Genomic DNA, 11,117 nt, shown 5'->3' with positions numbered 1-11,117 from the left:
CCATAGCGATCTGACTTCCAGGTCCTCATAGCAATCTTTTGGTGTTTCCTGGAATTTTAAACAGGAGTAGTCCTCCCCTGTGTGTGGTGTACTCTCTGAAGTTTGTGAGTGGATCACAGAGCATCATAGATCCATGCTGGGAACTCCTGCTGGCCTGCCCTACTGGAGGACATTCCACAGTTTCTCTGTTTCCTTGATGTGAAATTGAACTGTAAAGGAGTTAGACAACATAAGCTAAAAGTATTCTCAACCTCCCTTTGATTTTGGTAGAAAAAAAGCTTTTTTTTTAAGATAAAATAAAATATACTCCCAGGCCATCATATATATCACTGTTCTTAGAAGATGTGGGCCAACTTTCAACTCCATCAAGAAATAGGTAATTCGTCTAGTAGACGAACACATTAGTTAAAGGAAAATGAGGGCAAATCAAAACGCTTCCTTGGCATCTTGAATGGTGGTTGGAGTGAAGCTGTGTGAAGCTGCTACTTTGATGCTGGAATGCATCCATTTTCTCTGCAGAGAACAAAGACTCAGCAGGCAACATTCCTGAAGGTTGTCAGACTCCTTAGATAGTTGATTCCTGGAAGTCAGTGTCGGACATGCCTAGTAGACAGGAGGAGGGAAATGGTGGTATCACCCTTTTAGAGAGGATCTAGTATATGACTGGAACTGTCACCTACATTGTATGATTTGAAGGCATTGAGAACTCCCACATTCCACATCAGGGTCAACTTCATGAGTGTGCGACCTTTGCAGGTGCACAGTGCTCTGTGGTTGGAAGGGCCTTACCCTTTATTTAGTGCTCTGCTGTTGCCATCTTGAAATTCTCAATAACTTTTAAACAAGGGGCCCAGAATTTTCATTTTTTACTAGGTCCCACAAATTGGCTTGTGTCTTTCAAAAGGGTCACTAAAAGAGCTGAGGTTATAATTTTTCAAATTATGCATCCCGGAGACCTAGAATTGCCATCAAAACACACTATGAGTTACTATATTAGTCTGTTTTCACACTGCTATAAAGAACTACCTGAGACTGCGTAATTTATGAAGAAAAGAGGTTTAATTGACTCACAATTCAGTGTGGCTGAGGAGGCCTCAGGAAACTTGGAATTATGGCTGAAGGTGAAGTGAAAGCAAGGCACATCTTCTCTTGGTAGAGCAGGAGAGAGCGAGCAAGGGAGGATCTGCCATGCACTTTTAAACCATCAGATCATGTGAGAACTCACTCACTATCGTGAGAATGACATGGGGGAAACCACCTCCATAATCCAATCACCTCCCCCCAGGTCCCTCCCCCAACACATGGGAATTGCAATTTGATATGAGATTTGGGTGGGGACACAGAGCCAAACCTTATCAACCACTAAGAAATGAAGAAGTATGTATTACGTTAATCAGGAGGAATCACAGGTCTCCTTACCTGTCAGCAAGGATACATCTATGTGAACAATTGACATAATTGATCAGAAGGCATAGTCGAGAGGAAGCAACTGGGGCACAGGAGAAGTGGCACAGCCCATAAAAGGTGACGAGAATAACAAGTGGCTTGCGGTGAAAGCCCAAAATATACAACACAGAAGCAAAGACAAGCTTTCCAAACTGGCAAATGTTATTTTCACACGGCTGCCCATGATTCCCTGAATTTGCTTCCATCTCCTCTTTTTCTTCTTTTCTCCATCCCTTGACTCTTTTATATGAGCATTCAACCAACCTTTATGGTAGACAATGAAAAATGTAATAAGAAGGATACTGAAAATGTACTCTCAGAGTTCAGAAGGGGAAGACATCCCTCCTAGGTGGCAGGAAGATGCATTTGTAGGAGTTGGCATTATAGCTGGTCCTTGGGAGATGAGAGTGACTTGGAGACAAGGTGAAGGAAAGGTTTCTAAGGAGAGAGGATAGTGGAAACAAAGGCATGAACCAAGAAAACCTGGGGGTGATCATCAAGAACAGTGCCTCGCTTTGTTTTGCTGGAGCCCAGGTTCAGGAGGAGGAGCAGTGGGAGGCAAAGCTTTCATTTCTCCCTGTATTGGTTCTCTTCCTAAATATTTCAGATGAACAGAAGCCACAGTTTAGAGAAAGAGGTGTTTAACCAGGTAACTGGTCCTGAGCAACTAGTCTCATATTTTCCTTGTGCTGTGACATATTGTAATTCCCAATTTGGAGAATGCATCAGTCAGGACAGGCTCAGTCATATTGTAGTAATAAACAACCCACACATTTCAGTGGCTTGAAAATGTTAACAAAGGTTGGCTGGGCGCAGTGGCTCACACCTATAATCCTAACACTTAGGGAGGCTGAGGTGGGTGGATCACAAGGTCAGGAGATCGAGACCATCCTGGCTAACACGGTGAAACCTCATCTCTACTAAAAATACAAAAAATTAGCCAGACGTGGTGGTGGGCACCTGTAGTCCCAGCTACTCTGGAGGCTGAGGCAGGAGAATGGCATGAACCCGGGAGGCGGAGCTTGCAGTGAGCCGAGATGGCACCACTGCACTCCAGCCTGGGCGACAGAGTGAGACTATCTCAAAAAAAAAAAAGAAAGAAAGAAAGAAAGAAAGAAAGAAAGAAAGAAAGAAAGAAAGAAAGAAAGAAAGAAAGAAAGAAAGAAAGAAAGAAAATGTTAACAAAGGTTTTATTCTCATTCATGCTATGTGACCACTGCAGATCCTCTGGGGACCCTCCTCTACTCCAAGCTGTCCTCGGCCAGAGATTCAGGCTGAAGAAGCCCTTATGGCCTGGAGCTTTGCCTGTTTCCCTGGGAGGTGGAAAGAACAGGAGCAAATCATACATTGGCTCTTAATGTATTAAATCTTAATACATTTGCCCAAAGGGGACCCAGGTCACCTCCACTCACATCTCATTGGCTAATGCAAATCTTATGATCACATCCAACTTCAAGGAGCCAGGAAAGATGCAGTCTTACTGTGTACCGAACAGAAAACATGCTAGAAATATTTGATGAATGGCACTTGTGAAGACTACGGAGAATCTGAAGGTAATTTTTTCCAAGATATCCAAACAACTGCCTCAGTCTGTGTATACTATGACTGGATGAGTAGTTTTTTGCAGTTTCATATTTTGGTGCTTTGGCAATTTAAGTTGATTATGGAATTTATTTACATATTTCATTGAGAGTTTTTAGAGAAATTTACTTTAAAAACTTCTTACCATTATAAAAATTCACCTGGGTGCTGTATGCATTCTCATGCTTCCCACTCTCCTTTATTTTTTGCCACTCTGCACTGATGTCTATTGTTTGAACTACAGCATCAAGTATTACTTATGCATTACCCTAAGATTTTCTCTAGTTCAGGGATGCATCACCACTTTCTCCACCTTTGGCATGACAGACATTACTAATCAATCACAGTCCTTTTTTTCTCACTGATCCCAATTTGAACCCTTCTCATTAGAGTGTTCCAGCTAGCCACTGCCACTTGATCAGAGTTTTAAAATGAGATAAAACCAATTTATCATCTTATAGCAGAAAAGAAATGCTGTTTAAAACCCAGACTGCTTCCTAAAAAGTCAGTAACATATTAATAGGAAGGCCTTTATTCTTTCACATATTGATTGATTTATGTATTCCTTCCTTGAGTTAACAAGTATTTATTGAGCACCTACTATGTGTCCAGATACTGTTCTGGGCACTGGGAATGCTGATGGGCTTGGCAAGCATGGCCCCTTCCCCCATGGAACTCATATTCTGATACTGGTAAGCATGTCAATGAGTCTGTGTATGCAAGTTTGGGAGCAAGAGACAGAAGTGAACTGTACTGCAAGATAGAGGAAAGAAAATTCATATGGGAGAAACCTGATTTGGAAAGTCCAGAGGAGGAGCTGAGAGCCTGAACACTCCATAGGGAAATCCAAGAGAAAAAGAAATAGTTCCAGCATTTCCATCCTCATTCACCCTAAAGGTCAAATAAATTGATCAATACTTACTTATACATTTGCTAAGGTTTGATTGTTTATCTTTCATTGAGGTCACTATTTTTATAGATTCAGTCATTCATTCATTCGTTTGTTTCTTTATTTAGTGAATTATTTTCTGAGCACTTACTAGGTGTCAGATAATAGACAGTTCCACAGGAGTTTAAATACAAATCAGAAGAAATTCTACCTTAAAGGAGTTCCCATGTTGAAATTTAGGGGGCTGAGCAGGAACAGCAGGGCAACTGAGGAGCAAATAATTACTTGGTAGAGCAGGAATGGAGGTGATGGTGCCACAGAGGAAGGAGTGATCACTTTTGGTTGCACAGAAAAGGCTCTGCAGAGGGTGGAGGAAAGTGAGGGGAATCTTCTGTGAGGAAGAGAAGGCCAAGGGTATTTTAAGCAGAGGGAAGGGTATAGTAGAACACAGAATGGCAGACTGGAGTGAATCTGGAGAGTTCGACAGGGATCAGTAGCTTTGGAATGTTGAGGCAAGACATGAGGTAGGGAAGATCTGTAGACTTAAGCCAGGGGAATCAATGAAGTTCCTAGGATGAGGTGAGCAGTAGGAGTAGGAAGAACATTTAGGGGCTCAAGATTCTCCTCAAACCACTGAGATCACAGCCCCCAGATGCCACCTATTTCATCCGCACATAGAAATGCCCTGATACTAATTGTGCATTTGCCTTCCTTGCTCTGCTCTTGAACTTGAGCCCTCCCCATGCTCTACAGCCCTTTGTGTGAAATGCAACAGAACATGACCGTTGCAAGAGTGTGTATACCCATTCAAAAAAGAATCATAACTGCTTGAAGGGTAATCTCTCAGCTGGTGGTATGAAAAGCTTCATCTTTAAACCTGAGCCAACAGACCACAGCACTGGAACACTTGTGTCCTTAAGACTATTTTCGGCTGGAAGTCCAGAGTTGCAAGCATGTAGAACTTCACCTTTTGATCACAGTGAGGAGTTGGGCTTGACTCTGAACAGTGCTATCTTCAAGTCTTTTAAAGAGTCATCATGCAGTGGATGCTGAAGGCTGTATTTGTACACTTCTCTTTGTTTGCAAGTACAGAGAACCCCCTTGAACTAACTCAGGCCACAATGGGAGTTTATTGTAGGGATGCTGTTTGTAGCATGTGCCTATTTCACTTCCTTTTCTCTTTGGGGATTGACTTTTCTTGTTTGTAGTTTCATGTATGTGATGAAGCAATACAGCATGCTCTCTACACCCTTTTCTCTTCCTTGGCATGCAGAAAGACTTAATTTCCTTGCTCCTCTTACAGTTATGTTTGAGCTATCTAATTTAATTCTGGTCAATATAATGTATATGAAAGTGACATACGGCGTGACCCTGAAAAACATCCTCTGTGACCCTCTCTTCCCTTGCTGTGACAAGCTGGTGGTCATGTGTTCATGTGGCATTCCTACAAGCACGAATGTGAAATACACTTTTACAGTGTTAAGCCACTGATATTTGAAGCTTGTGCTACTTGTCACAATAGACAAGCCCCAAATCTCAGGAAAACTCGGTCTTTTGCAGCTAGTAGAATTTCATTTCCTTTACTCAGGAGACCAGACCCACTGAGACCTTGATCTCATTTCTACTTTCCTAGAGGAGGGACTCTGATTGGTCTTCCATTAACTGAAGCCAGAGCAGAGGTCAAATGGCCAAAACATCGTTTCTCCCACAGGAAGCATGTGAATCAAGGGGGTGGGAGAATCAGTTCTTAGAAAATGGAGGATAGAGTCTACATAGGGTGGGCCTGACAAACAACTGGATAGATATTTCTGCATAGAATCTTCCCAATATACTTCCAGGGAGGAGTGGGAGAGAGACCTACACTGAGCATCTTTCTCAAGGCCCAAGGCCCTGCTCGGCCAAGGCTGGCCTCTGCAGCTTTCCGGTTGGCCTGAGATGCAAGCTGAGTTCAGAAGGACCACTCCTTTCAGAAGGTCTTTCACCCCATCCCAGGATCTCTGTCATGGTTGCCAAGGAGGCTTCCACCATGAAGTTCCAAACTAGGACTCAGACCATGAAGCTGCAAGTCATTTTTCATAAGCCACTGAGCAGCTGTTAGATTGTTAAGGAATTTGACTCAGTACCACCCAGGAGCAAGATTTTGTGGACAAAAAATGAAAAGCCTCCAAGCTTATGACATAGCTGGTCACGCCCTCTGGTCCTGTTAAAGAAGATTCATCTTCTGAGGGAGAACAAAGCCTTGCCGCCAAGTATCCTGGGCCACTGGGGCAGATGCAGCTCCTCTAGGTCTCCCCACTGCTGTTTCCCTAAAGACCTCCTGCCTGTGGGGCTGTGGGGTGTTCTGTAAAGGCAAATAAGTGTTTCTGGCACACCCTCCATTGACAGCTGTCTACAGAGGCAGACAGGTCTGATTTGCATATGGTGCATTTACATGTGGAAGAATCCTCCAAACCTTTTAAGTCCTCTGGATGTAAATGCCAGCCACAGGGAGCGTGAGGGGAGTCAGTGGTAGCTCAACATAAATATGGATATTTTTTACAAGAGGGTGGAGGAGCTGGCTGGCAAGACTAGCGAAGTTCTTTGATAAATCTACGGACATTCCAGGAAGAGCAGGGTGGAACAGTTTGGAACATGGAGCCTTGTTTAAGGGAGCGAATAGAACCTTCTCTTGAAGGACAAAGACCAGACGATCATACAACACAGGTCATCTGCTGGAAACCTGTGGGGACTGAATGGTTGACAATGACCTTGTTATTTCTATTTCCAAAATATATCTTTTTTTTTTTTTTTTTTTTGAGATGGAGTTTCACTCTTGTCACCTAGGCTGGAGTACAATGGCATGATCTCGGCTCACTGCAACCTCCACCTCCCAGGTTCAAGCGATTCTCCTGCCTCAGCTTCCTGAGTAGCTGGGATTACAGGAACCCACCACGACATCCGACTAATTTTTGTATTTTTAGTAGAGGCGGAGTTTCACCATGTTGGCCAGGCTGGTCTTGAACTCCTGACCTCAAGTGATCCACCTGCCTCGGCCTCCCAAAGTGCTGGAATTATAGGCCCAAAATATACCTTCAATGCATCTAGTCTCCATGTCTATTGCCAACCCTTTTGGCCCTCCTGGGCTACTGCAAACAGCTCCTGACTGTCTCCCTATTTTCACTCTTGCCCACTTCCAGTCCACTCTCATGAGCAGCCCAGGTAATCTGCTTAAAATTGGAGCATGAGTCACCCTCAGCGCATGCTCTCCTAAGACTTAGAATAAAACAGCTTCCTTAGTGTGGTCATGAAGTAGCTGCCCTGGCCCTTGCTTTCCTCTCCATCCCCATTTAGTTCTGCTCTCTCTTACTCACTGCCCTCTGATCTCCCCTGTCTCCCTTCCAGTTACCAGCGGCTTTCCCTCTGCCAGGCTACAGTGCCTGCCATTCATCTCGCAGTGGACTCCTCTTTCCTCACTTTTCTCCTTTGGCTTCAACATCGCCTCCTCAGAGAAGCCTTCCCTGACCACCCCAATTCAGCAAAGTCCCTTTACCCCCTTATTCTCCCTCACCATGGCCTGCTTGTTTTTTTCATAACTCTTACCCTGCCCATAGTCACAAATCCATGCAACTGTTTCCTTGTTATCACCTGAACCTCCTGCTAGACTGTAAACACCACCAGGCATGGCCGTGACTGTTTCCTTTGCAGAATGGATGGCCCAGTGCCCGGCACAAAAATAATTGTTGATTAAATTAATGATTTGGCCTCCAAGGAGAGTGCCTACAAGCATAGGATTTGGATTCACATGTACCTGAGTTTAGCTCCTACCTCTGCCCCTTGCCAGCACAGAGACCTCCAGCCAGTGGCCTCCCCTCTGAGCCTCCATTTTCTTCCTTATCAGAGGGATAAGAATGGCACTTCCCTTTTGAATTTGGTGGGAGGATGACACAATGCAGGAGAAGATTCTCAGCTGGTGCTTGGGATGTAGCAAGTGCTCAAAAAAATGTTAGCTGCTCTTACTATTAACAATATTAGTTGTAATCTTATTGTTATTGTTATTATTTAGCTCCATTTAGACATGACCCCAATCTTTACTGGAGAAGAGTGAACAGGGCTTTCCGATGTGGTACGTGTGTATTGTGGGTTTGTTTTGTTTTGTTTTTATCATGGTGGCACATACCCTGAGCCTTCTGTTCTATTCCTTTTACACCAGACAGCATTTTACCACAAAGAACGGCTGCTGTTCCTCTAACGACAGTCACACACTTAATGCTTCAATTTCCACATTTTATTTTATAAGTAATTTAAAGCCCATGGTGCCTTAATTGTAAAATAGGCCTTATTAAAATAATAGCTTGAAAACCAGTGGGGCTCCCTGTGCCGAGCAATGAGGGTTTTTAGCTTAACGGCTGTTTACTGGGATTTAAAAAGAGACACAACCCAAATAAAGCTGTAAAGACATTTCCACTGTGAGTGATGGGCCAAGGACCAGCTGATAATTAAGCTCCCCCATCCCCACACAATTTTTTTTTCTTTTGGTGCTGTCTGGAGCTTTTCTTAGAAATCCAAAGCACACCCTTTGCTGCTTTTATGATTGATGAGGCGGTGAGGATACTTCAGTACGAGTAAGCAACGTGGTGCTTTGATTAATGATGCTGGTGGGACTCCCAGAAGACCAAAGAGAATAACATTGTTATCAGGAAAGCAGCTGAAGCTGCTGAGAGGGACAGTGACTCCCAGGACTGTGGAGACTGTGGAGCCATCCATGGGTAGGGTCTTTCATTCAGCTCTAACCCAGCATCTCCTCCTGGAAGTCCAGAAGCCAGTGAAGAGGGGACTGAAGGGCATGCTTTTCCATTGAATTCACAAAACTGGCACTGGGCACAGTTCGGTTCCCTGGAAATCTCAAAGGATGAAACACACACAAGCTGGTAGGAGTCTCAGGCTCTATCACAGTCATGATGAGTTTTTTTCAATATGATTGTTCTTAGGCAGAAACAATCAGATGAAGAGATTCTATAGTATAAGAAAAATAACAGTTTCTATCCACCAAGCACATGGACTTACATTGAATCCTTATAATACCCGTGAAGTAGATGTTACTATTATTCGTCTTGATTTTTGGCCAAGGACGCCTAAACTCGTAAGAACTTTGTGCATTACAGGTCACACAGCACTTGACCTGTGGAGCCAGGACTCAAATCGAAGATGGTTCTAATGTCTAAGCCTATGCTCTCAGCCCCTTAGTAACTCTGGGCTTCCAAGAAGAGAGCTATGGAGCTTGTGGGAAGATATCCAACCAGGCTACAGACAGATGGATTTTAGATTTTGCTTCACCTTGCCTAACCTGGGATGACCTGTGTCTCAATGTCTGTGTCTTGGTGTCCCTAAATATGAAAATCCGGTATGCCCCGCCTGCCTCACAAAGCTCTCATAAGGATCAAATATATTAACATTTACGAATGCTCTTTGCAAGGTAAGAACCCCAATGGACTATTTGTTCCAGCAAAACTGTCAAGTGAAGCTATATGGAAAAACATTTATAAAGCTAATTAACATTGAAGGAGCCAAGCAAATTAAGATTCCTAGTTCCAGAGGAAGCCAATATCATTTCTAACGCCTAGATGAGTAACTTTGGGTAAGTTGCTTGATCTCTATGAATCCCAATTTTCTGCCCTTCAAAATCAAGTAACACCGATCTCTTGGCATTGTTTTGAGAATTCCATGATATTATGCCCACAGAGCAGCTTAAACGCTGCCTGGCACATGTGTCCTCTGAATGTTCACTACTGTTACCATTTCTTTCTTTTATTTCCCTCTGAGCCACTCCTCATTACCATTTGGGCAGAACTATGCCTGCCCATTGTCTCTCTGGACCTTTGCAGCATTATAGACCGAAAAAGGAAATATGAGTCAAAGAGTGCCCTGAGGCTCAAACACTGTGGTTTTGAAAGTCAATACGCCTGTCGATAACAAGACTCACTGCCTCTCCAGGGACCGCCCACAGTGGTGTTGCTGAGTTTTGCAAGCCCTGCACAGAGAAGCTTCGTGGTGGTGGGAAGTGCTGTCCAAAAGAGGGGCTGTCTTACTGTCAGGCCAGAGCATCTGTGGCCTCCACAGCAAATGGGGATTTGAGCACGAGGCAAGCCAGACAGCCCCTGCCAACTCTTACACTGATGCAGTGGCTGGAAACACCTCCTCTCAACTTTTAGAGCGTTTTCACATCTTGCATGCTGGACAGTGAGTGGACCTACTGGACCAAAACTGCAAAGAAGAGAACATAAAATGGCTGCGACTTTCCCATAATGGTTTTCCCATAATGTAAAACCAAACAGACCTGGTTTTGAATCATGGCTCTGCCATTTCCATATTCTGTGATGATAGGCAAGTCCCTTAATTTCTCAACTTTTCCTTCTATAAGAAAGCAGCTTAACCAGCTACTTGGGAGGTTGAGGCAGGAGGATCGCTTGAACCCGGGAGGCAAAAGTTGCAGTGAGCCGAGATTGCACCGCTGCGCTCCAGCAAGCAGCCTGGGCAACAGAGCAGAGCAAGACTCTGTCTAAAAAAAAAAAAAGCAGAAGGCAGCTCTGGTGCCGGAATGCCTAGGTTCAAATTCAGGCTCTGGTACATCCTGTATATTCTCATATTCTCAGATAATTTACTCTCTTCTTTACGTGTAAAATGAAAGTGAGAATGAAATGAAATTTTAAAAATATATGAAGTTTTTCAAGTAGTAGCAAGCACTAAATAAATGTTAGCTGCTGTGTTTGGCGGGATGGGTTCCATGTAATCCTCCAATGTAAAATAAACCTTGGCATCTCAGTGGATTAGGACCATAAACATTTATTTCTCACTCATGCAGATGGAGAAATTTCTTCTATTTCAGGAGACTCGGAGACCTGGGATCTTTTCTTCTTCTGACATCACTATGTCAATCAACCCACAGCAGTTGGTTCCAGTTCATCACAGCAGAGAAAGAGATGGGGAAGGGGGTACCATGGCTCTTTTCTCTCTTGGCAATTCTTTTCATAGTCCATCAGCCACAGCAAGTTCAGGAACCCAAAGCCTACTGCACAGGAAACGGCCTTTATGGTAAATTAGGCTAACTGCCGAAATCACACTGCTGTAAAAGCATTAAATGGCAATGTGCATGGCATGCTTACACTGTGGCTGGCACATGGTTAGTGCCTGTTGTCTCTTGTGAGAGTACTACTTTTGATTCGGT

The 11,117-nt window shown here is 43.8% G+C and overlaps 3 annotated features.

Annotated features, from left to right (window-relative positions):
- Window positions 397–691: a silencer, noted in NCBI's record as "tiled region #1261; HepG2 Repressive non-DNase unmatched - State 24:Quies". NCBI's record gives its function as "represses a minimal TATA promoter and a strong SV40 promoter by Sharpr-MPRA in HepG2 cells {active_cell/tissue: HepG2}" and the evidence as "EXISTENCE:reporter gene assay evidence [ECO:0000049][PMID:27701403]".
- Window positions 9,954–10,003: an enhancer, noted in NCBI's record as "active region_23534". NCBI's record gives its function as "activates an Ori minimal core promoter by ATAC-STARR-seq in GM12878 lymphoblastoid cells {active_cell/tissue: GM12878}" and the evidence as "EXISTENCE:reporter gene assay evidence [ECO:0000049][PMID:35858748]".
- Window positions 10,014–10,183: an enhancer, noted in NCBI's record as "active region_23533". NCBI's record gives its function as "activates an Ori minimal core promoter by ATAC-STARR-seq in GM12878 lymphoblastoid cells {active_cell/tissue: GM12878}" and the evidence as "EXISTENCE:reporter gene assay evidence [ECO:0000049][PMID:35858748]".

This window comes from Homo sapiens, chromosome 5, assembly GCF_000001405.40.
Source record: "Homo sapiens chromosome 5, GRCh38.p14 Primary Assembly".
NCBI classification, from domain to species: Eukaryota; Metazoa; Chordata; class Mammalia; order Primates; family Hominidae; genus Homo; species Homo sapiens.
This window is presented reverse-complemented; position numbering and strand designations above follow the sequence as displayed.